A 26,686-nucleotide genomic window follows, 5' to 3' on the forward strand; every position below is an offset into this window, starting at 1 on the left:
CGTGTGGTCCCTAGAACCTTTGTAAAAAGTATCAATACTGTATGATCTAGAGAATCATTATTATTATTAATATCATCTCTGTTACTTGGGAGTTCATGGAGTCACATAATTTAATAGCTAGGAATCACTTGCAAATCATCAGCTCCACGCCCCTCCTCATTTGACCAAATGACTAAGGTCCAGAGGCTTCCTTTGAAATGATTTCTCTCAAGAAAATTGTCAGTGTTTACTGAGAGCCTGTATTGGGCAAGACCCTAAGCCACCAGGCATGCTGGGGGATATGGAGATCAAGGGCTCATGCTCCTAGGCACACAGCCTTGAAGGAGATTTTTAGGGAGGCCTGGTGGCTGTGGGACTTCCCATATCTTCTTCAGGATTGGACACGGGGCCCACAAAAGACTCACAGATGATCTGGTTTTGGGATACATCCCACTGCTCCTTCTCCAATCCTCTCCTTTTCATCTTTACTGTTTTCCAAGTTTCCACATCTGCCTTCTGAACCAGCTGTCCCTGATGATTCCAGCACAGTTTTCTCCCAGCCCACCTCTGCTCTTTCTTGTCCTTCTCTTGGCTGACATGTCTCCTCTCTCTTTGACCCACTCTGAGTGTCCTGGGAGAGCACAGAGCCCTCACCTGACTTTCTTTTGCGTTTCCAGATTGGAGCCTCCCTCTTTGCTAGTAACATTGGAAGTGGCCACTTTGTGGGGCTGGCCGGGACTGGGGCAGCTTCAGGCATCGCCATTGGAGGCTTTGAATGGAATGTGAGTAACACTGCAGCCATGGTGCACTGGGGCTGGAAGGAGCCTTAGCAGTCAACCAGTTCAATCTATGCTCAGAGGAGCTGAAGATGTTAGGGAACCCTTCAGGGTCACCCCAGGGTGCAGACAGAGGAGGGGCATGACTTCAGGAGCCTCAGGGCCCTGCTCCCTTTCCACCAGAGTAGCATGAGAAAACCACTGGTATGACAGCAATAGTATTTTTTCTGTTTTCTCTTCATGTTAAAAAGCCAAGGCCCTTCTAGCCATGTTTGAGGTTTGGAAATGCTTACCACCAGATTTCCATTATTATTATTATTATTTTTTTTAAAAAAATTTTTATTATTTTATTTTTAGAGACAAGGTCTTGCTCCACTGCTCAGGCTGGAGTGCAGTGGTGCAATCATAGCCTACTGCAGCCTCAAACTCCTGGGCTCAAGCGATGTTCCCACCTCACTCTCCCAAGTAGCTGGGACTACAGGCATGTGCCACCATGCTTGGCGAATTTTTTAATTTTTTGTAGAAGCAGGGCCTCACTATATTGCCCAGGCTTGTCTTGAACTCCTGGCCTCTAATAATAATAGTAGTCGTCATAATAAATGTAATTATTAATTATTATTATTGTTATTATTAAAGCTCTCTAAATGGCATTTTACTCTGTGTAAACCAGGGAAGAGGTGAAGGAGAACCCAGTGCTCTAGCTGTGGCCCACTGCTGTGATGTTGATGAGCAGCCTCCTGGGCTCCTCTCTGCTGTTTTCTAGCTGCTATTTCCATGGGTCAGTTAGGCAGCAAAGGCCTCCTGCAGTCTCTAACGGCTCCTTAGGGGAGAACATGCTGGGTAATTTTTCTGCAGCAGCTGAGGGGCCCTTCAGGTGGCAGGGATGGGCTAAGTTTCCTCCTAATTTGAGTCCACCTTTTGTGTTCATTTCAGGCCCTGGTTTTGGTGGTTGTGCTGGGCTGGCTGTTTGTCCCCATCTATATTAAGGCTGGGGTAAGTATCTGCTCTGTTATTTCATTTCCTGCTGGCAAATGTATCTGTCAGCTTGGTCTTCCTAGAGGGCAGAGGAGACATTATGGGATAAATGGCAGAAAAATCTGTGGATTGGCTTTCACTCCCAGGTTATGAAATTCCCGACTGTCTGCAGTGGCATTATATGGATATATTCCTCCTCCTCCTCCAGGGCAAGGGTCTGGCTCCTTAGTGATGCCCAGTGACAGGTTTATTGGGCTGGGATAACACCTAGCTACTCCTACAGTGGTAGGGCATATGGGATTAAAATGAGCAAATGGCTGGAGGTCAGGGGCCATCTGGCCACCTCGCAGACTTCTCTGGCCAGCAAAAGTTATGAATCCTTGACCACACTTCTGTGGCTCTGATATTAGGATGGTGTCACTGTTCTGTCTGCTCTGGGCCCTCTGGTCACTGTGGCTGGCAGTGACCTCCCTCGCACCCCATGCAGGTGGTGACAATGCCAGAGTACCTGAGGAAGCGGTTTGGAGGCCAGCGGATCCAGGTCTACCTTTCCCTTCTGTCCCTGCTGCTCTACATTTTCACCAAGATCTCGGTGAGTCCACTGCCCCAGAGGGCTGGGCTGTCTCAGAAGCTGCCACTCTCATTCCTCATCACATGCTGCCCACCAAGAGGCGGCTCTATACATTTCTATTAACTTGGCCCCTTAAGCCTTCTTGCGCCTTGGAGTAGAGTCCTATTTCTGCATCGAGGAGCCAATGGAATTCAATGGAAATCTGTCCTCCACTGTGGTGCAGGCTGAAAACACAAACAGGTTTGTGAAGGTTCAGGGAAAGCAGTTCTTAATAGAAGATTAAAAGGGAGTTAGGGATGGAATTCCCTATGATCCAGCAATCTCACTACTGGGTATATATGTAAAAGAATTGAAATAAATATATCGAAGAGGTATCTGCACTCCCATGTTCATTGTAGCACTATTCACAATAGTGAAGATATAGAATCAATATAAGTCCCATTAACGGATGAATGGATGAAGAATACGTGGCATATATACATAATGGAATACCACTCGGCCTTAAAAAAGAAGGAAATGCTGTCATTTGTTGTGAATATGCTGTCCATGTCCATAACATGGATGAACCTGAAGAACATTGTGTTAAGTGAAATAGGCTAGGCACAGAAAGACAAATACAGCATAGTGGAATCTAAAAAAGTTAACTCAGAAGCAGAGAGTAGAATGGTGGTTACCAGGGTCTGGGGGTGAGCGGGTGGGGAGTTGGGGAGATATTGGTCAAAGGATACAAAATTTCAGTTAGATAGGAGGAGTAAGTTCAAGAGATCTATTGTACAACATGGTGACTATAGCTAATAACAATGTGTTTTGAAAATCAGAGAAAGATTTTAGCTGGGCTTAGTAGTGTGTGCCTGTAGTCCCAGCAACTCAGGAGGCTGAGATGGGAACCCCAGGTGTTTGAGGCCACCCTGGGCAAAGGTAGTGAGAACCTGCCTCTTAAAAAAAAAAAAAGATTTTTAAGTGTTTTCACCACAAAAAAGATAAGTATTTGTTTGAGGTAATGTATATGTTAATTAGCTCAACTGAGCCATCCCATAATATATAGTTTAAAGTATCATGTAGTACATGATAAATATATACAATTTTTATTTGTCAATTTAAAAAAGGGGGGAGTTAGGGATATCTAAGGGTTGGCCCCAACTTTAGAGGCAGGCATGGGCCTTTGTGCCCTGCCAGGGTAAAATCTGACTCTATGTGACATTTCTCATGCACTGAAACACAAGCAGCCAGTGCCAACTCTGGAAGGCACTGCTGAGATTCTGTCTTCTTTCATGGACAGAGAAATGAAAACCCTGCAGTTGGAACGAACTTCTCCTGAATCAGGAGTAGAATCCAGGTCTCCGATTCTCAATTCACTGTCCTTTTCCCTGCACAAGGCTCCTGCTTTTTCTTGGAATCAGCTCTGTGGGCCTTTAATTGCTAACTCTCTGGGGGATGTTTACTCTTTCTGAACCCAGCCACTGGGGCTGCCCCTCTACCATCTAGCCTGCTGTCCTTGCCAACCTGGAGCTGTAGGTCCACCTTGCAGAGCTGAGATTTCTCAAGGATTGGAGGGCGACTGGGGTACCTTTGAAAGCTGAGCAGAGCTCTTGGCTGACCTACTGGAGCAAACATTGTGTTTCTCTTCTCTTCTCCCCTCCCCTCCCCTCCCCCCTCCCCTCCCCCTCCCCTCCCCTCCCCCTCCCCTCCCCGTCCCCCCTCCCTCCCTTCTTCTTCATTCTTCTTCTTCCTTCTTCCTTCTACTTTCTTTGTCTTCCTTTTTGTGAGATAGGGTCTTGCTGTATTACCCAGACTGCCAGACTGGAGTGCATGGCATGATCATAGCTCAGTGCAGCCTCTACCTCCTGGGCTCAAGCGATCCTTCCACCTCAGCCTCTTGTGTAGCTGGGGCTACAGGTGTGTTCCACCATGCCCAGCTAATTAAAAAATTCTTTTGTAGAGACAGGGCCTCACTATGTTGCCCAGGCTGATCTCAAACTCCTGGACTCAAGCAATTCTTCTGCCTCAGCCACCTAAAGTGTTGGGATTATAGGCATGAGCCACTGCACCCGGCCTTGTGTTCCTTCTTTACTTCACTTTTTCTTCCTTGTAAGTGTTCAGGTCAATTCCTCTTGATTGTAAAACAAAACAAAGCAACAATAAAAAAACACAAAACAATCAGGAAACCACTAAACTTCTGAGATATCTTTCTGACAGCCCAAAAGATGGTAGGAAGAGAAAAGTTTGCTTGTAGATTTTAGTGTGCATTTTTTTTGTCCCCAAGGTGACTGTCAGTCTGATAAAGGTTAAAGCAATGGTATGAAAAGAAAAGAAAAGAAAAGAAAATGTAAATGATAAGGAATAAGAGAAAGAAAATAGGACTTTAGTAAGAAAACTACCTTGGAGAATAATTGAAGGAGCTGGCTCCTAGTCTGTTCCCCTGCCCACTAGCAGGTGACCTGGGGCAAATGTCATAAAAGCTTAGCTTCTTTATGAGTAAGATGGGGATAGTAATTCCTGCCTTGCCTAGATCACTGGGTGTTGGTGAGCATCCAGTGAATTTATCTGAAAACACAAAGTGTTCTTGAAATGTAAGATATAATGATAACGAGGCTGGGTGCGGTGGCTCATGCCTGTAATCCCAGCACTTTGGGAGGCTGAGGCATGAGGATTGCGTGAGACCAGGAGTTTAAGATCAGCCTGGACAACATGGCAAGACCCTATATCTACAAAAAATAAAAAATATTAGCCAGGCATGGTGGTGTGCACCTGTTGTCACAGTTACTCAGGAGGCTGAGGCGGGAGGATCACTTGATCCCAGGAATTCAAGGTTGTGAGCTATGATTGCACCACTGCACTCCAGCCTGGGTGACATAGTGAGATCCTGTCACTAAATAAATAAATAAATGAATGAAGATATAATGATAACGAACATGGTTAACTGAGAGCCTTCAGCACTCTCTGCAAGAAGCTCTCTGGGTTGCAGTAGGGCAGAGAGAGAGGTGGTGTTTTCTGAGATCACATAGGGAGTAGCTCCAGCTTTTCCCCTTAGCCAGCAGTTGCAAAGTGCTCATTGCTCTATCAAAATGGTGATCTCGTTGCCTATGATCAGTTTTTCTCTCTCTTGTTGTTCTCCCCTATCCAGCACCAAAGGCGAGATTGGTCCAATCTCAGTATCTTGCAAAAGATCTGCCCTGGGTGAGATGTGAGTTGGATTGGATCTGAATTGAGCCATCTACTCTAGCTAGGTAGGGTTCTGAAAATACAGTTGCTAGTGTTTCTATTTTCCTGATTACTTAAAGTTGAGACAACAGCAACATTAAATAACATTTGCATTTTTTTTATTACGGAAAATTTCAAACATATATAAGCAAAGATAGAATAGGATAACAAGCACTCACGGACCTAACACTGATCACTTAGCTTTAACAATTGTCAACATTTTGCCATTTTTGGTTCATCTATCCTCTTCCAATTTTTTCCCCAGCAGTATTTTATTTTATTTTATTTTTTCCAACTTTTATTTTAGGATTGGGGTACATGTACAGGTTATATGGTTAAATTGCATGTCACGGGAGTTTGGTGTACAGATTATTTTGTCACCCAGGTAATAAGCATAATACCTGATAGTTTTTTGTTCCTCACCCTTCTCCCATCCTCCACCCTCAAGTACGCCCCAGTGTCTATTGTTCCCTTCCTTGTGTCCATGTGTACTCAGTGTTTAGGTCTCACTTATAAGTGAGAAAACATGCAGTATTTGGTTTTCTGTTCCTGCATTAATTCAATTAGGATAATGGCTTCCAGCTCCATCCATGGTGCTGCAAAGGATGTAATCTCATTCTTTTTTATGGCTGCATAGTATTACGGTGTATATGTGCCACATTTTCTTTATTCAGTCCACCACTGATGGGCATTTAGGTTGATTTCATATCTTTACTACTGTGAATAACGCTCAGCAGTATTTTAAATCAAATCTCAGATCCCATGTGATTTCACTGTAAATTCTTCAGAATGTACCTTTGACTTTTAAAAAATATAACCATTGTGCTATTATCATATCTAACAAAATTTACAGTAATTTCTTAATTTAGGTAGTTTAATACCTGGCCCATATCAAGATTTTCCTAATAAACTCAAAAATGTTTTCTTACAGTTAGTTTGTTTGAATCAGGATCTGAACAAAGTCTAGATCACATCACATTTGGTTCTTTCTTTAAAGGAAATATACATGTGTAGGTCTTCAGCCTACTACAGTTATTTTTCCCTTTTACATTATTACCTTCCTGTCCTGGCCTACATGAATAAACATTTTTTTATTGGGTTATGTGTCTATTTCTTGATCAGTTGTAAAAATTCTTCATATATTCTGGATGTTAGACCCTTATCAGATATATGACTTGCAAAAATTTTTTTCCCATCCTGTAGGTTGTTTTTTCACTTTCTTGATAATGTCCTCTGATGCACAAAGGTTTTAAATCTTGGTGAAGTTCAATTTGTCTATTTTATCTCTTGTTGCTTATGCTTTTGGTGTCATTTCTAAGAATCCACTGCCAAATCCAAGGTCATGAAAATGTACCCCCTTGTTTTCTCCTTAGAGTTTCATAGTTTTAGTGCTTATATTTAGGGCTTTGATCCATTGTGAGTTAATTTATGTATATGGTATGGCCATGTGCCACCATGCCCAACTTCATTCTTTCGCATGTGGATATCCAGTTCTCCCAGTACCATTTTTTGAAGAAATGATTGTTTTCCCACTGAATGGTCTTGCACGTAAGTTTTCACTGAACTTGGTGAAAACAGGCTCTTGCCGATAATGCTGTTAAGGTTTTGTCTTGGAGTTGGGGCCAACACCTAGGAATAGTGCTGCCTCCTTGTGTAGCTTCCTGACTCACACTGCTTCTGCCCTCGACCCATGCCTTTGTGCTTTCTCCACTAATGTCATGATTCAGCCTCCTTTACTTTCTCCTCCTCTGCTTCAGGGTTGGTGTTTTTTTTGTTTGTTTGTTTTGTTTTTTTAGATGTAGTTTCACTCTCGTTGCCCAGGCTGGAGTACTGTGGCGCGATCTTGGCTCACTGCAACCTCCACCTCCCGGGTTCAAGTGATTCTCCTGCCTCAGCCTCCTGAGTAGCTGGGATTACAGCCACACGCCACCATGCCTGGCTAATTTTTGTATATTTTTAGTAGAGACGGGGTTTTACCATGTTGGCCAAGCTGGTCTCGAACTCCTGACCTCAGATGATCCGCCCGCTTCGGCCTCCCAAAGTGCTGGGATTACAGGTGTGAGCCACTGCGCCCGGCCCCCGGGTTGGTTTTTAGTTATAAGATGAAAGGCCTGGGCTTTCCCATTTTATTTGATTAGAGACCAGTGTGCAAAGCCTGGACTGGAAAATGCTGGGAGGGCTAGAGAAATCGGGCTTTGGCTTCCTGAGAAAGGGCAGTGTGTCTGTCTAAGAAGAGAAAAGGGAATGTGAGCAGGAGGGTGAGGAGGTCACACTGCAATGAGCAGGAGGGTGGTACCTGTCTACTGTGCACGTAGAGAAGGGTGCTGGGCCTCCCCTTCTCCCAGGCAAGTGTCCTCCAAGTCCACAGTTCAAGCAGGTGAAAGTCTGTGGACTGCAGTTGCCATGGTAAGAGCACTCTTTGTCCTCAGAGCTGGTGCAGGGGTGGCAGGGGTGGTCATATAAATAAATTAGGTGCCCAACCTCTCTCCCTGCCTTCTCTATCACCTCACCTATTTTTCAAGTTACTGATTAAACCTTCTTGGACTTGGGAGCCCCCAGGGAGCTGAGGGACAGCCTCTTTCAGCTCAGATCTGGATGGAGCCCATCCCCGAGGAGCCCGCTTTTTCTAAATTTGGCTTTTGAATTGTATGTGTTGTGTGCTGCTCCCTCTCTGTGTGATTTTTGAGGCTCCTTACCCTCGTCACCCTCCTGCTCACGTTCCCTTTCTCTTCTTGGACAGATGCACTGCCCTCCCTCAGGAAGCTGAAGCCTGATTTCTCCAGCCTTCCCAGCATTTCCCAGTCCAGACTCTATACACTGGTCTCTAACCAAATAAGACTGAAAAGCCCAGGCTTTTATCTTATAATTAAAAACTAACCCTGAAGGAAAGGAGGAGAAAGTGAAGGAGGCTGAATCATGATATTAGTGGAGGCCATGACCAACATTATACTTACTCCATCCATTGCCCAAGACCAGGGATCCCTTGACAAATACATAAGAAGTTTGATAGCTGCCCTCTACTTAGTGCTGGTCTCGTCATTTAGTCTCCAACAGGGGTTTTACTTACACCCTCTCCAGTTCTCAGAAGAGTACAGCATGGGTAGGGATTTCTATTATTTATTTGTTTGTTTACTGAGATAGGGTATTGCTCTGTTGCCCAGGCTGGAGTGTAGTGGCATGATCATGGGTCAATGCAACCTTAAACTCGTGGGCTCAAGTGATCATCCTGCCTCAGCCTCCTGAGTAGCTGAGACTACATCCATGTGCCACCATGCCCAGCTATTTTTTACTTTTTTTTTTTTTTTTTTTTTTTTAGAGATAGGGTCTCACTATGTTACCCAGGCTGGTCTTGAACTCCTCGCCTCAAGTGATCCTCTTGCCTTGACCTCCCAAAGTGCTGGGATTACAGGTGTGAGCCACCACATCTGGCTGGGATTTTTATTTTATTTTCCATTTTATGGGAGAGAAAACTGAGTCTCAGAGAAGTTAGGTAATTTCCCCAAATTACACAGCTAGTACGTGGCAAAGCCAGAACTGGGAGCAGGGTCTCTCCAGTGCCAAAGTCTGTTCTCAGTGTTCTGCCCTGTGCTTGGGTGGGATGAAGGCATAGAATGAGGGGATGGGATAGATCATGTGGTCTTATGTTCTGCGCTTTCATTTTACAGATGGAGAAACTGAGGTCCAGACAGGGGAAGGGACTATGAGGGGTTAAACAGGAGCAGAACTGGGATGAGAAGCAGATTTCCTGACACTGAATCTAAACCTTTTGACATTATATGCCCCCTACCTTCTAAGTCTTTCATTCTTCCAGTACAGAGTAGGTTAGAATTCAAGACCCTGGGAAAAATGAAGAGAGCCAGTTAAATGAACCTCACAATATAAATGAGTTGCCAAGAGTAGGATTTGAGAGGACTATGGGGAGAGAACATCAGCTGCACACTGGGTATATGAAGGATCTGAAGGAGGGACATCTGGGCAGGGGGTAGGGTAGGGAGGGATGCAGACAGGCAAGGCTTTGTCTTCGTAAATTCGGCTGGTTTTAGGTTCAACATGGGTCACAGAGCATTGAAATTTTAAAAAGAATTACACCGATATCAACTGTACCTGCTAGAAGCTCACTTCAAGACACACAGGAATGCAGGGCTCATGGACAAAAGAAAATAACTGTTCATTAACAAAATACGGTGATAAGGCATTTATATTCCACACAAACCAAGATTCACCAATTGTGTGTGTGTGTGGAAGGGCACGGATGGTTTGTGATGGGTGAGAAGAGAGGAGGGTTAGTGTGAGATTCCTGTCCAGAGAGCGAACAACCAGGGACCTGCCACGAAGGCTTGGGGAGAATGTAGGGATCCAGTGGGGTTGTAATTAATGGGAGAGAGGAGAAAGTACAGGGCATTGTAGGTGCAGAGCCCAGATGTGGCCCAGGCCATTGGCAGCTGTGATGTGGAGCGTTGGCTATGGCTACCATCTTTTGGTCACGTATTTTTGGGCTCTGAGACTCAGAACTGATTGTCCTTCCATGAGCTCCTGAATTTTATTGGCTCCCTCGAGCACCTGCCTTATCAAGCTCTGAGAAGCATTCCATTCTGTAAAATTTCCCGGCATGTGCATCTTATGCAAATGTGCACAATCCCTGGAGATAAAGCCTCAGATTTTATGACTTACATGTGATGACTGAATGTTCATGTCCCCATTTGTGTTTCCTAGGGCTGTTATCACAGATCACAGCTACAGTAAATGTTTACAGCAATTCTGCTGTCCATTTTGGATCCTTGGGTGAAAAGAAGAGCTTTTGCTTTTGCTTAAGATTTGAATGCTCATTCCCAGGGCCACTCACTTTCACAAGTGGAAAGAGAAATTTGAGTAATGGGGCTTCACCATCTGAAACTGCGAGGCTAGGCAGGATTTATCGAATGCTCAAATACATCTTGGTTACGACCAGAATGGACAGCAAACACACACATATAAAATCACTGGATCTCAAAACATCAGAGCCAAGGCGAAGCAACATGCCCAAGCTCCCAATCAGAGACTCAGTTACTTGCAGATGCTTTCCAACGGGGGTCTGTATTTTTATTCCCCATGAATTCCATGGACATCGTTCAGCCAAATTTTCAACGTGATGGGAACAACACCCCTGGGCTAAATCCAACACACGATCTATTTTTGTAAGTAAAGTTTTACTGGAGCCCAGCCAAGCCCATTGTTTGTGTTGTCTGTGGCTGCTTTTATGCTTTAACAACAGAGTGTGACAGAGACAGTAAATGCAAAGCATAAAACATTTACTCCCGGGCCCTTTACAGAGAAAGTTTGCAAATTCTTGATCTAGAGGACCATAATTTTTTATTTCACTTCAAGTTGGTTTTGCTTAGCAGCATTGGAGAAATTTTCTTCTTTCCCTTCTGCCTCCCCTTTCCCTCTTTCCTTCCTTCTTTCCTTCCTTCCTTCCCTCCCTCCCTTCCTTCACTCCCTCCTTCTCTCCTTTCTTTCTCTCTCCCTCTGTTACCTTCCCTTTCTTTCCTTCCTTCCCTCCCCCTTCCTCTCTCCCCCTTTTTTCACTTTCTTCCTTTCCCCTTCTTCCTTCCTTTCGTTCTCTCTTTCCTTCTCTCCCTTCCCTTTCCTTTCCCTCCCTCCATCCTTCCCCCTACTCTCTTTTAAGGGCTAACATTAATTTAGGGAAAGAGCAATCTGGGATAAGCTGTGAAACAAATGGTCTCATAGGATGACAGGACAGTTCTTTTATATCAAAGCTGGTGCTGCATTCCCTATACAGTCCCCTATTTTTATGATAAAAAATTTAATGAAATACTTCAAATATACAGGAATGCAGAAAGAATATAGCAAACACCCTTATATTCACCACTCAGATTTTATAGATCTTAACAATATATTATTTGTAGAAAAGAAATAAAACATTACAGATATAGCCGAAGACCTATTTATACCCTTTTCTTGGTCTCATTTTCCTCTTTCCTAAAAGGTGAATGCTGTCTTGAACTTGGTGTGGATTCTTCTAGACTATGTTTTTATATTTTTACTACATATATATATGGGTACCCGTATAGCCATAAAGAATATATTCTGTTTTAAAATTTCTGCTTCCTGCACTTTTGAAACTGTAGGAAAAATGTAACATTGGCATTTAAAAATCTTGGGGTGGGAGATGCACACTTTAACTCCAATACCAATATTTTCATATTTTGGCCTTGCTCAAATTGTGTGTATTCTTTCACAAAGTTGCAATTAGAATATGCGCATCATTTTGTTGTCTTCTCCCCACCCCTACCATCAAATTGTAAATGTTCCAGTTTCAGTTTTCATAATTATTATTTTTAGGGGCTGCAGAACATAACTGTTGACATATAATTTTTAGAAAGCCATTTAAAAATCCTCTGGTGGACAAAAATCTCTTGACAGTGGTCACTTCTGGGCTACTTTTACTTTTCAGTGTGTAACTTCTGCGGTTATTTATTTATTCAATTTTTATTTGTTTTTCTTTTTTTTTGAGCAAAACTCTATCACCCAGGCTGGAGTACAGTGGCACAATCTCGGCTCACTGCAACCTCTGCCTCCCAGGTTCAAGCAATTCTCCTGCCTCGGCCTCCCAGTTAGCTGAGATTACAGGCATGCGCCACCACACCTGGCTAATTTTTGTATTTTTAGTAGAGACAGGGTTTTACCATGTTGGCCAGGCTGGTGTCTCAAACTCCTGACCTCAAGTGATCTGCTTGCCTCAGCCTCCCAAAGTGCTGGGATTACAGGCATAAGCCACTGTGCCTGGCCTGTGGTGTTTATTTTAACCCCCCACACATACATTATTTTATTTGAGATTTTATTTTAAAAGTAAATTAAAAACTTTTTCTTTGTTGCTAAAAAAGACCTTGCTGGCTGAGCATGGTGGCTCAGGCCTGTAATCCCAGTAGTTTGGGAGGCTGAGGTGGGTGGATCACAAGATCAGGAGATTGAGACCATTCTGGCCAACAGGGTGAAACCCTGTCTCTACTAAAATACAAAAAAAATTAGCCAGGCATGGTGGCACGCAACTGTAGTCCTAGCTACTCAGGAGGCTGAGGCAGGGGAATCACTTGAACCTGGGAGATGGAGGTTGCAGTGAGCCGAGATTGTGCCACTGCACTCCAGCCTGGCGAAAGAGCAAGACTCTGTCTCCAAAAAAAAAAAAAAAAAAAAAAAAAAAAAAGACCTTGCTCTCTGTAGAAAATATTCCAGAAAGCAGAAAGGAGGTCCCTTACTTTTCAATGTTGTTTTGAGGATCAAAATAACGCATGTGCCTAAATGTCCTTGGTAAACTGTAAAACTCTCTGAACATGAAGAAAAGAAAACAAACAAACAAACAAACAAAAAAAAACAACCCTAGTGGGTTTGTTTGGCAGCTAGGAAGGACCAAAGACTAATGTCAGAGCACCCAGACTAGAGTGGCCTTGCTCAGCTGGAGTCAGCTACATAAGCTTAGCTAAGGTATTCCCAGCCTGGCCTTTGGCATGCCAAGGCAGAATTCATCTCTGAAGTTAGAATGACTCATGCGAGGAAGAATTTGTCCTAGGTTTCTTCAATTCACCAGGGAGGTTTCCTTAGAATCCTTTATCTGTACTGTTAGAAGGAAATAGAATATCATAAAAACAAGACTTTTATTAGCCCAACACTTTTCAGAAGTCTTTATAGAGGTCATTTATAGCATTATCTTATAACTTATGTGTTGCCTCTTTGTGACTAATGACAGCAAGGCACATATTAATGAGGGTATCACAGTCTACGATGGCATGTTGTCATAAAGCATTAAAAATTAACTACTCTGGAAAATCAACCAAGGGCAGTTTAAAGGCAGTGTCAGCTTTGTAATCTTTTCCTATCTTATTTACACTTATTAGCTAATCCACCAAATCAAACGTGTGTGCATTTAACAGAATTTCACTGCAATCAGTGAATGGGGCCCCTTGAATTTAAGTAACTTTATGTGACTGTGTAGAGGCATGAGAGGAGAGGGACCAGCATTATAAATATTCATTACAATTTCAAATGGCCCAGTGTGCAGAGTCAGGAAGAAGTGGCCATTTCACTTTTGGCAAGACTTATGCACAGCAGAGGCGCCTTCCTCCTCTTGGGCTACTGCAGAGGGCAAGGCAGAATGGAAGCGGTCCAGAACCCGGGAGAAGAATGCTTTCCTCACTGCAGACCTTTCCCACTTCCAACCACTGAGAATCACAAGTCCCTGGAGCCAGGACTTCCTGCATAAACACGAGGACACTGAGAATTAGAGAGGGGAAATGTTTTGCCCAAAGGTTTGCAGGCCTAGAGTGGCGGCACTGGGGCTAAAATGCTGGTTCTTCTGACTGCTAACTCCAGGGAGAGAGGAGTTTCTTTCTAACTCACCATCTCTCCTCCCACCTCCTGGCTCTGCCTCCCCTCCTTCACCAGGGAAGATGGTGACATTGGGTCCCCTGGGTGAGAGAATCTTCAGGGGAGATCTGGGCAGAGGGGAACTATGGCATCAGGTCCTCAAAAGGCCCACCTTCGGGAAGGAGGTCGAATCACCCTCCAGGGCTCACGTGTTAGCTCAGAAGCATGGAGTTGGTATTAGATGTGCTCTTTGCTAACTGATGGAGGGAGGGAATAGGAGATTCTCATAGGAGGGACAGGCAGGTATGGTGGGAAACTTAAACACTGGAGGGCCCTCAGGAGCAGCAATGGGATGGGGACTGGGAAACGGAACTAGAGAGGAGATGCAAGATATAAGAGGAGATGTGAGAAGTAAGAGTCCAACCCTGCTGGCCCATCCCCAAGGCTCCGTCTGGGTGCTGTTTGCGTGCCGTGAAATGTTAGGGTTTGTGCAGTGAAAACAGTTCGTGCATTCATTCCATCTAGGGAAGTCCAGTTTCGTCCACACCTGGAGATTTGAAAACAAAAGACTCAGCTGGGCGCAGTGGCTCACGCCTGTAATCCCAGCACTTTGGGAGTCCAAGGCAGGCAGATCACGAGGTCAGGAGTTCGAGACCAGCCTGACCAACATGGTGAAATCCTGTCTCTACTAAAAATACAAAAATTAGCTGGGTGTGGTGGTGCACACATGTAATCCCAGCTACTCAGGAGGCTGAGGCAGGAGAATCGCTTGAACCCAGGAGGCAGAGGTTGCAGTGAGTTGAGATCGCACCACTGCACTCTAGCCCGGGCGACAGAGTGAGACTCTGTCAAAAAATAAATAAATAAAAAAGACTCACCATGATCATCCCTTAATACTACCCTCCCTGGTATTGTTTTGGAGATGACATGAACATGCATTTGGGGTGACCCTGGTGCTCTCTGCTGGTTTATATGAGCAACTGCACCATCCAGCCAGGTAGAAGGTTCATTAGGAGAAGGCTGAAAGAGACAGGAAGGAGGAGAAAGGGTGAAGATGGAAGAACTGCATCAAGAATTCAGGAGTGAGGAGGGAGCAATTCTCCCAGAAATTACATGAAATAATCTAAATAAAACCAGCAAGTACCAAGCCTGCTATGTAAGAGGTGCTTGGTGATGTTCTGGTTGTGTCTGAGTCAAGATGGACTGCATCCGGGTTGGGGAGTTAAAATTACAAACTTGCTAAGTTTCTCCCCGCTCCTGGGTGGGGGTGGGGTTTCTCACTTATGGACTCTCCAGCACTCAGACTTGCTTTTGGGGACGAGCTCTGATAAACCTGTGTACACTGAGGTGCAAAAGATGGACAATAGCTCAGAGCAACAGTCTACAGGTGACTTGCAAGGAACCTCTAAGTGTTAATAGCTGTTCCTTGGCAAAAAGAGTTCAATAGTTGAGTGAGTTTGTGAGATGTCATGTACCGTGTTCCCTCCCTGGGGATGACTGTACATGGCATATATTAAAGGCTCAGAAAAGTTGTGTGGCAAAGAAACTGCCTTAATTCTGTTTAGCATTTTATAGACCTTTTTGACCATGGAATTCTTTTTCTCATGGAATACGTATTATCATCTTGAATAAAGCTTGCTTGGAAAATCAGGAGTAGAGAGACTACAGGCCCTGTAGGCAGCTGACCACTCTCCCTCCTAACTCCGCCTCTCCTCTCCTTCCAGGCAGACATCTTCTCGGGGGCCATATTCATCAATCTGGCCTTAGGCCTGAATCTGTATTTAGCCATCTTTCTCTTATTGGCAATCACTGCCCTTTACACAATTACAGGTGAGTCCATTCAAATAAACCAGCACCTCAAACCCAGCTCGGGATCAGGCACTAGTGAAGGATAAAGGGAAGTAGGAGAGGTGGTTTCTCTTCTTGAGGAGAGATACACTCAGGTAAGAGTTTGGGAGTGAGGTATTTGCTTAGTACCAACTCATAGACCCTCCAAGTTATACAAGTGGTTTCAGAAAGCTGTGGTGTTGGCTGGGATAGTCAGGGCAGCTTCTCACAGGAGTGCATGCAGAGCTGGGCCCTGTGGGTTGTGGAGATGACTTAGCTAAGGTGGGAGAATCAGAGCAGTGGCAGGTGCAGAAATAAGTGAGCACAGGGGAGTGGAGGCAGGGTGGGCACGCAGATGCTCTTGGCTGGAGGAGGGTGGCCACTGAAGGATCGTGGGGGTTTGTGGGGACCATATAGCTTGATAGTTCAGATGAGGTCACAGCATACTGTGTGTTTTGAACACAGTATACTGGGGTTTGGAAAGCCAGGCAGAGGCCTTGGATTTGATGTGTCAGGGACTGGGAGCCCCTGTAAGGAGGGAGAAAGGCAGTGACTCACACACAGAGGTTTCAGAAGAGGACTCAAGTGGCCACCCAAGAAGCTGGTGCATAAATAGCAATTGGGGCTCCTTTGCAGAGGGGTCACTCTGCCTCCTTGGTGGGGGTGGGAGGGATCAGCTTTAGAACTTGCTGCTTGACTGCAGCCCCACAGCTTTGGGGACTAAGAAAAAGGTAGACATATGTCCCACCATCTCCACAGCCAGCTCTTTGCTCCTCCCTGCCTTGTGTGTGGAAGACGCTTCTTCTTACCACAGAGGAGTCATCTCCTTTGAGCCATCTTCTGGCTCAAAAGGGTCACACCAGACTCTTTCCCCTCAAGTAGGGAGAAACATTCGCCACTTCTATGACAGGTGGAGCTGTGGGAACATGCTGAATAGCAAAATACTGTAACAGGACAAGGGAGGGAAGGAAGGAGAGGCAGGCAAACCACTGTGGGGATGTTCTCAGAAGGCCAGCAGAAGTAGAGGGTGGAGAGTGGGGAAGGAAGCAAGTAGACAGGTCACCCTCCACACGAGGTCAGATGTGTTGTCTTCTTGCCTGCTTAGGGGGCCTGGCGGCGGTGATTTACACGGACACCTTGCAGACGGTGATCATGCTGGTGGGGTCTTTAATCCTGACTGGGTTTGGTAAGTGGGGCCAGGGCAGGCTGAGGAGGTGGGAGCAGAGGTAGAGGGCCTCAGGAAGAGGAAGGCAAGTCCAGCCTCTCTACCTGCTTGCCAGACTAGGCAGTGAGCTGAGGCATGCTCTGCCCTTCCAAACGGAGGGTCCAGCCCAGATGGGCTGTCATTGTGGGTATGCAGGGTCAGCTTCCTTATCCCTGGAAGACTGAAGCTGGGGCTGGTCCTGGATTTTCTGCTGCCCTCTCTCACCAGTCTGGGCTAGTGGTTGTGCTGTGAGCCTGTGATAACATGGTGTTCTGTTTGCAGAGAAACTGGACAAAAAAGGATAAGGCTAAATATCCATCAAGCTAAATCTAGTCAAATGTTGCGTCTTCCATCTTAGGCTATATCTTATCTACATTTTGATGTCAAATATCCTTTCTTTTATGAATTGTTGATAGTGGGTGATAATGTTCCTTTTAATGCCCCTATTTGGCAAAATTAAAAACTTGGCTCCTCAGGGTTGGCCCTCCAATTAATTTTTTTTTTTTTTGCAATTTTACTTGTCTATGAAATCTTAAAGATGAGACTGGAGAACCTAGGTAAGGGTACTTATTATGGGAGGATAGAAAGTACATTTTATTTCTAGGTGCTCAAGGCCCACTGTGTATCCTGCAAAAACTTGTATTTGCTCTCCACTCTTCTGTTTTCTAAGGACTTTCATTTGGTTCTCCCCAGCAGGCCTTGGGTGTTAGCTAGGCAGGCAGTGGAATGACTTATTCAAGGACACACAATTGAGAGGTGGCAGGTTCTGGATTCCTCACCCATTCCCTGTCCATCCCACCACATGCTGGGTCCAGGAGTGGTAGGTGTGGGTCTGAGGTCCCAAAGGCCACTGTGTGTGTCTAGGTCTGTGTGTCTCTAGGCCTGAGTCCAAGGCTCCAAAGGCCATGGCTGACAGCAGAGGGTGAGGGAAAAAACAGAGTCTTTGTATGTGGTCCCAAACCAAGGTCTTTCTTTGATTAATAAAAGTCCCTTCCCTTTTACAAAGAGGTTTACAGTTGGAGTACTTTTACAAGTGATTGCTTTGGTCCCCATAATAGCCCCCAAGGGGGCTGGGCAGGGCTACTAATCTCATTCTATGGATGACAAAGCTGAGGCCCAGAATGGGAAGGTGATTTGCCCAAGGCCACTCAGTGAGGGCTCTGTCTGTGGGTTGGGTCCTCTCAGTTTCTCAGGCATCTATGGAAAGAAGCTGCTATGACGAGTTGAAGGTTTCAGAATGTTCATTTCTGTACCGATGTTTTCCAGCTTTTCACGAAGTGGGAGGCTATGACGCCTTCATGGAAAAGTACATGAAAGCCATTCCAACCATAGTGTCTGATGGCAACACCACCTTTCAGGAAAAATGCTACACTCCAAGGGCCGACTCCTTCCACATCTTCCGAGATCCCCTCACGGGAGACCTCCCATGGCCTGGGTTCATCTTTGGGATGTCCATCCTTACCTTGTGGTACTGGTGCACAGATCAGGTACCCAAGCTGGATGTGCGGGATGGACAGAGTCTTCTCCAGGGCCCTACAGGAACTCCTGTCTGTCTGTGGTTTGCAGGGTTGGGACAGGGAGGGGAGAGCTCAGGTGGTTTGTAAGTTGCCACGCCCCAGTGATACAGCAGTGCCAGGCCAATGACCCAAGATGGCGAAGCTAGGAAGTACAAAGGTGTCACAGGGTCTCTGGTCTGCACACCTCCCTTACTGGGCTTTTTCTGGCAGGTCATTGTGCAGCGCTGCCTCTCAGCCAAGAATATGTCTCACGTGAAGGGTGGCTGCATCCTGTGTGGGTATCTAAAGCTGATGCCCATGTTCATCATGGTGATGCCAGGAATGATCAGCCGCATTCTGTACACAGGTAATAACTTCTGCTGGACCCACAAACCACTCTCCCTTTTTCTGTCTCCAAGTCACTTCTAAAGCTCTATAGCTTCCCGCTTCCTCCTCTTTTTTTTTGAGACCAGGTCTCACTCTGTCACCCAGGCTGGAGTGCAGTGGTGTGATCATTGCTCACTGCAGTCTCCAACTCTAACTCCTGGGCCCTAGTGACCTTCCTGCTTCAGCCTCCTGAGCAGCTGGGACTACAGGTATGTACCACCATGCCTGCCTAATTTTTAATTTTTTTTTTTGTAGCGATGGGATTTTGCTATGTTGCTCAGGCTGGTCTTGAACTCCTGGCCTCAAGTGATCCTCCTGCCTTGGCCTTCCAAAGTGCTGGGATTATAGGCATAAGCCACCACGCCTGGCCCTCTTCTTTATTTGTTATGGTCATATCCAAGCATTATTGCTCCTGTGCTAGACAGTGAGCAACTTGAGGGAACTTTTGGAGTTGTCTTCCCTGGTTTCTTATGTCGACAATTGTTTCCTCCTTTTTTTTTTTTTTTTTTTTCAAATCTTCTAAAGTTATGACATGCCTCCAGGTCACTTCTCCCTAATAATATTTGCTCAATTGTTGCTTAATCTCTTGCTGTCATCCTTCCACCCTGAATGTTTCTTTGATTTCTTTCCTCCGTTGCCTAGAAATTGTCTTTCTTCCTTAGTCAGAGCTCATCAGTGTGTCAGGGCCAGCAGGGCGGGGCAGGCACCAAAGGGTTCTGTGGAGAGCTGCACTCCTGAGGAACCATTTCAGAGCCTTGGAAAGGAATATCCTGTTTGAAACCTTGTTTTAAGAAGGTGAATTTTGGCCGGGCACGGTGGCTCACGCCTGTAATCCCAGCACTTTGGGAGGCTGAGGCGGGTGGATCACGAGGTCAGGAGATCGAGACCATCCTGGCTAACACAGTGAAACCCTATCTCTACTAAAAATACAAAAAATTAGCCAGGCATGGTGGTGGGCGCCTGTAGTCCCAGCTACTTGGGAGGCTGAGGCAGGAGAATGGCGTGAACCCGGGAGGCAGAGCTTGCAGTGAGCCGAGATCGTGCCACTGCACTCCAGCCTGGGCTACAGAGTGAGACTCCGTCTCAAAAAAAAAAAAAGAAGGTGAATTTTGGAAATATTTCCCCAATGTCTGCTTGCTGACGTGGCTCTCCATCTCTTCCCAGAAAAAATTGCCTGTGTCGTCCCTTCAGAATGTGAGAAATATTGCGGTACCAAGGTTGGCTGTACCAACATCGCCTATCCAACCTTAGTGGTGGAGCTCATGCCCAATGGTGAGATTCTTTCTTGGGAGGTTGGTAGAGTCTTTCTTGGGAGGCTGATTGGGTTTAGGCACCACCTACATTCCTGTGAACCTTCTGGGCAAAGACATTTCTTAGCCGGGGGGTTAGAAGGGAAAGCATCATTGTGGGTGTCCTCAGTTTTTGGACATGTCCTCTCTCAGTGGGAAGGAGACATATGACTTGGTTGGGTTCTATGAGTTCTGGGACTTGCCCATCAGTCAGGCTTGGAAAGGAGATGATCTGAAAACTTGTTAGAGAAAAACATGACTTTCCATACTCATACAGAAGGTCTTTCAAAGCTCTCCAACAGTGGATGTAAATTAGCACACCCATTATGGAAAACTGGATGGTGGTCCCTCAAAAAATTAAAAATAGAACTACCATATGATCTAGTAATCCCATGACTGGGCATATAGCCAAAGGAAATGAAATCAGTGTTTTGAAGAGATATCTGCTCTCCCATGTTCACTGTAGCATTGTTCACAGTAGTCAAGATGTGGAATCAATATAAATGCCTATCAATGAATGAATGGATGAATGGATAAAGAAAATGTAATATACAGTATATACACAATGGGATACTATTCACCCTCAAAAAGAAGGAAATTATGTCATTTATGACAACATAAATGAACCTGGAGAACATTATGTTTAGTGAAATACTTTAGACTCAAACAAATACCACATATTGTCACTTACATGTAGAGCCTTAAAAAGTCAAATTTGTAGAAGCAGAGAGTAGAATGGTGGTTACTAGGGGTTGGGGTGGGGATCTGGGAAGATGTTGGTCAATGGATACAAAATTTCAGTTAAGAGGAATAAGTTCAAGAGATCTATTGTACAACATAGTGACTATAGTTAATAGCAACGTATTGTATACTTGAAAATTGCCAAGAGTAGATTTTAACTGTTCTCACCACAAAAAATGTTAAGTATTTAAGGTAATGCATATATTTGCTAATTAGCTCAATTGAGCTAATGTATAGATATTTCAAGACATCATATTATATACCCTCAATATACATAACTTTTACTTGCCAATTAAAAAATATTTTTAAAAAGCTCTCCAACAGATGTTAAAATGAAGGCTTGAACTAGGTCCAAGGGGTTTTACCTGGAGAATGAATTGACTTTTATGCTCTTCCAAGGAAACACATGGGGAAAGAGGCAAGATTTCAGCTCTAGAATGAGAAAGTCTGAGGCAGGAGATGGATGGCATTCAAGGCGGCTTGTCACCATAAAGAATCTGTTTTCCTAGGAGACTGAGTACTTAGCTGTGACTCCTGAATAGCTAGAGTTTTGTAGTTGACCTGTGGGATTACAGTCATGTTTCAGAAAAATCTCCTAATTCTGGCTCAAGGGATACAAATCTGGCTAGGGGGTTAGGTTAGGGGGTTTCAGGAGAACAAAACTTCAAAGTTATTACCTAGAAAAATTTAGAATAAACCTATAAAATTGTATTACTGAAAAGAAACTTAGAGACTAGTCAAATTCTTTCATTTTACAGTTGGGGAAACGGAAGCCAATAGAGGGGAGGTGAGTTTTCCAGGGCCAGGCAGGAACGTGGTGTCTGGCATTTGGCATGCTTAACGCTGCTCAAGGCTGGAATTGAGGAATTCGGGAGAGTCTTTTAAAAAATTAAAAAACTACAAACTTCATGCATGACTTTGGGCAAACCATTTGCATTCAAATTATATAAAAATGGGAATAATACTTAACTAGCCTACTGAGCTGGGCTGCTTATTCATAAGGTTACAATTAGCAGGAGTCACAGTGACTCTTCTAGAAAAGTTCTGGCATGGATTGCATTGGCCTCTGTGGAGTGTTTATGTTATTCCTTTAGGTGGGCAGACCCTCCTAGTGAGGACTAAACATTATGCGGGAGTGGACTGTGCACAACAGAAAGATGTGTGGCATGCAGAATAAAATGCCGTGCTTCCCTGTGCCATTGCTAGTCCCTCCTCTTGGCTGTAATCTGGCTTCAGTAAATACTGCATTCCTTTTTTTTTTTTTTTTTGAGATGGAGTCTTGCTCTTATCACCCATGCTGGAGTGCAATGGCGTGATCTCAGCTCACTGCAACCTCCACCTCCCCAGTTCAAGCAATTCTCCTGCCTTAGCCTCTGTAGTAGCTGGGATTACAGGCACCTGCCACCACGCCCAGCTAATTTTTTTGTATTTTTAGTACAGACGGGGTTTCACCACATTGGCCACGCTGGTCTCAAACTCCTGACCTCAGGTGATCCACTCGCCTCAGCCTCCCAAAGTGCTGGGATTACAGGTGTGAGTCACCATGCCCAGCCTACTGTATTCCTTAATGACCTCCCTGTGCTAGACTAAATAGATATTTTCCATTCCTCACCTTACTGGATCCCTCAGTGGCATTCAGCATTATCGATCACTCATCCTTCTTGAGTTGTTCTCTTCTCTTGGATTCCATCATACTGTATTCTCCTGTTTGTCTTTTTAAATTTTCCCCATCCTCTCTGGCTGCTCCTTTTCATTCCATTTGCAGATTCAGCCTCCTCCACTCAGCAAGTAGGTGATCCTCCCACCAATCCACACCAACTTGTGTCTATTTTGTCTCCTAATGTATGTCTCTCTATTTTTACTTTTGTTACCCTAGTCTGATAGACCATTATTTTTTGCCTAGACCACTGTAAAATTATGCACTGTAAAATTGTGTTCAGCAAATATTTGTTGAGTAATTAAATGAATGGGGTCTGATAAGAGTGTCATACAGTGGGGAAAGTTCTATCCCAGCTTACCAATTTCAAGGCAAAGTAATCCTGAACGAATGGCAGAGCTAGGGCTGAAAGCCCTTCCTACTAACTCCTTGAAATGGACCTTTATCAACTGAAAAATGAGATAATTGGACTTGATGATCTTTATAACTTCTATATCTCTGATAGTTTGTGATCTATACCACACAAACTCAGAAAGAGCCATTAAAAAAACCTCGCAACAAATGACAAAATAATTAGAATAGGCAGCCTTTAGAATTCATCTTGCAAGGCTGTAGGTGAGACCATAAATTATTTAAAGATATAAAACCTAGAGGAAAGACAGAATTGTGTTCCAAAAAGATCTCAAGAGGCATGAATGCTGACTCAGATCTAACCAGCTGAAGTTTAATAGAGGTATAAGTAAAGTTCTAAACATTTGGGTCTCCTAAATGCAGTTAGATAGGAATATAGAGAAGAGAGAGTTCAAGGGAACATGAGTTATCTTTGAATATATGAAAGATGGCAAAATGGATAAGGAGTAAGACCTGTTCTGTTGGGTACCATGAGGACTACATTTGATGCTATAGAGAGGTAGATTTCAGCCTACTCAGAACTGTCTGAGGGCAGGTTCCCTGTAGGGTAGGAGATTTCCTGTTGCTATAGAGATGGGCAGAGGAATGTTGTGGAAGGGATTCATGTATCAGATGGATGATAGGTCTAGGTGATCCTAAGGTTACTTTTACTCCTGAAACTGTAAAACTCTTGTTAGTGGGTCCTCAGCTTGGCCTGGCCTTCTAGCCTCAGCAGGTGTCCCCCTGTACACTCCTTGGTATGGGAAGAATAATAGAGATTATAGCCAACCAGGCTTGCCATAATTGAGAAAACTTTAATAACAAGAGTTCCGTATTCCTATTTGGGAAGGTGTAGTATTCCGTATACTGATTTGGGAAGGTATCCCTGTTTAACACATCAAGAAATGAGGCCTAGAGCTTGACGTAACTTGCTTAGGATCAGAGTTAGAAATACAGCCTTGTCTTTCAAAAAAAAAAAAAAAAACAAAAAAACTTAATTGAGCTTAAATTCACCTATCCTACAATTCCCTCATTTAAAATGTACAATTCAGTGGTTTTTTAAGTATATTCACAGAGTTGTGCAAGCATCACTGAAATAAATTTTAGAAAATTTGTGTCATGCCATAAAGAAATCCTATACCTGCTAATGAAATGAGCAGTCTCTCCCTATTTCACCCCAACCTCCCAGTCCCTGGCAACCACTAACATACTTTCTGTATTCCTAGATTTGCCTATTCTGGATATTTCATATAAATAGAATCATATAATACGTGTTTTTTTGTGACTTGCTTCTTTTACTTAACATAATGTTTGCAAGGTTCATATGTGTCCTAGCATGTATTTGTATGTCATTCCTTTTTATTGATGAATAATATTCCATCACATGTTTACCCATTTGTCAATTGCTTATGCATTTTGTTTATCCACTTATCATTTGGTGGACATTTGTATTGCTCCTCCTTTTTGGGTATTACAAGTAATAATATTACAAACATTAATGTATGAGTTTTTGAGTGGACATATGTTTTCATTTCTCTTGGGTAGAGAGAAATGAAATTCCACCTAGGAATGGAATTTCATTTCTCTTGGGTAGAGAGAAATGAAATTCCACCTAGGAATGGAATTGATGGGTAATATGGTAGCTGAATGTTTAACCATCTGAAAAACTGACTGACCCAGACTATTTTCTGCAGTGGCTGTACCATTTTACATTCCTGCCAGCAATATATGAAGGTCCTCATTTCTCCATATCTCCACTCACACTTGTTATTTCTGTTTTTTAAAAATTTATTATCATAGCTATCCTAGTGGGTACAAAGTTATTATCCCACTATGGCTTTGATTTGAATTCCCCTGATGTCAAGCATCTTTTCATGTCATTATTGGCTATTTGTATGGCTTTGGAGAAGTGTCTATTCAGATCCTTTGGCATTTTAAATTGGGTTGTCATTTTATTATTGAATTTTAGGAGTTCTTTATATGTTCTTATATTAGACCCTTATCAGATACATGATTTGCACGTATTTTCTCCCAGTCTGTGGATGGCTTACTTTCTTGAGAGCCCCATCTTTTGAATAATAGTTTAAATCTCTTTCTGTTATATCATAAATATTTCAGGTGAGAGACCTTATAAAAATCCCCTCAGATGGAAACACACATACACAAACACACACACACACACACACACACACACACACACACACACACACCCCACCACCTTCATCATCGTCCAGTTGCAAAGTATTCACCTCAAGTATGTTGTGTCTCTGGCTCTTTGTGGCTGCTGTGGGCTTATAATGGGCTAATAAATTTAAAGCCATAGGACTACTTCTTAAAGCTTCTAGTCTTTTTGGAGACAGAAATTGGATAACATGGCATGGTTTCAGAAGGCAAACAAATCTTGAGTCCTCATATATTTTTCAAGTACAAAAGAGCTGAAGGTGCTGTTATGTGCCACTCAAAAATCCTTCTCTTCCAGGACTGCGAGGCCTGATGCTATCAGTCATGCTGGCCTCCCTCATGAGCTCCCTGACCTCCATCTTCAACAGCGCCAGCACCCTCTTCACCATGGACATCTACGCCAAGGTCCGCAAGAGAGCATCTGAGAAAGAGCTCATGATTGCCGGAAGGTAAATGCAGCTTCCCCCAAGCCACAAAAGCTTGAATGATCAGAGAGGTTCCATCTGTGTTACCCCTCAAGCTAGGGAAGGTTGGCAGATGCCTGGGTAGAATGGGAATAATTTCTGTGGCTGGTTATATGTGCCATTTGGTGGCATTTAACTTTATTTACTTATTATTTTATTTTATTATTTTTAAATTTTTTATTTCCATTCATGTTTGGGAAACAGGTCGTATTTGGTTACATGAGTAAGCTCTTTAGTGGTGATTTGTGAGATTTTGGTACACCCATCACTTGAGCATTATACACTGAACCCAATTTGTAATCTTTTATCCCTCGCCCCCCTCCCACCCGTTTCCCGTGAGTCCCCAAAATCCACTGTATCATTCTTATGCCTTTGCAACCTCATAGCTTAGCTCCCACTTATAAGTGAGAACATATGATGTTTGGTTTTCCATTCCTGAATTGCTTCACTTAGAATAATAGTCTCCAGTTTCATCCAGTTGCTGCGAATGCCATTAATTCGTTCCTTTTTATGGCTGAGTAGGATTCCATCATATGTATATATACACCATAATTTCTTTATCCACTTGTTGATTGATGGGCATTTGGTCTGGTTCCATATTTTTGCAATTATGAATTGTGCTGCTATAAACCTGCGTGTGCAAACATCTTTTTTGTATAACGACTTCTTTTCCTCTGGGTAGATACCCAGTAGTGGGATTGCTGGATCAAATGGTAGTTCTACTTTTAGTTCTTTAAGGAATGTCCATACTGTTTTCCATAGTGGTTGTATTAGTTTACATTCCCACCAACAGTGTAAAAGTGTTCTTTTCACCACATCCACACCAATATCTATTTTTTTTATTTCTAAATTACAGTCATTCTTGGAGTAAGGTGATTATTTTTTCCTTGTTAATTTGTTTGAAATTTTTTGTAGATTCTGGATATTAGTCCTTTGTTGGAAGTATAGATTGTGAAGATTTTCTGCCACTGTGTGGGTTGCCCGTTTACTCTGCTAACTGTTCCTTTTGCTGTGCAGAAGCTCTTTAGTTAAGTCCCACCTATTTATCTTTGTTTTTGTTGCATTTGCCTTTGGGTTCTTGGTCGTGAACTCTTTGCCTAAGCCAATGCCTAGGAGGGTTTTTCTGATGCTATCTTCTAGAATTTTTATAGTTTCAGGTCTTAGATTTAAGTCCTTGAATTATCTCA

The 26,686-nt window shown here is 43.7% G+C and overlaps 1 protein-coding gene across 3 annotated transcripts in view; it reads left to right on the forward strand.

The window, feature by feature from the left end:
• The window catches only part of SLC5A1 (solute carrier family 5 member 1), a 69,769-nt gene that overhangs the window by 23,018 nt on the left and 20,065 nt on the right, over positions 1 to 26,686 (forward strand). For all 3 annotated transcript variants that reach the window (NM_000343.4, XM_011530331.2, NM_001256314.2), the window contains 9 exons: positions 657 to 761; positions 1,689 to 1,748; positions 2,218 to 2,322; positions 15,588 to 15,693; positions 16,796 to 16,876; positions 18,161 to 18,381; positions 18,622 to 18,757; positions 19,942 to 20,049; positions 25,334 to 25,484. In NM_000343.4, coding sequence (NP_000334.1) covers positions 657 to 761; positions 1,689 to 1,748; positions 2,218 to 2,322; positions 15,588 to 15,693; positions 16,796 to 16,876; positions 18,161 to 18,381; positions 18,622 to 18,757; positions 19,942 to 20,049; positions 25,334 to 25,484 — 1,073 coding nt within the window. The remainder of the gene's footprint in view (positions 1 to 656; positions 762 to 1,688; positions 1,749 to 2,217; positions 2,323 to 15,587; positions 15,694 to 16,795; positions 16,877 to 18,160; positions 18,382 to 18,621; positions 18,758 to 19,941; positions 20,050 to 25,333; positions 25,485 to 26,686) is intronic.

The sequence above is a fragment of the Homo sapiens genome, chromosome 22 (assembly GCF_000001405.40).
Source record: "Homo sapiens chromosome 22, GRCh38.p14 Primary Assembly".
NCBI lineage: Eukaryota > Metazoa > Chordata > Mammalia > Primates > Hominidae > Homo > Homo sapiens.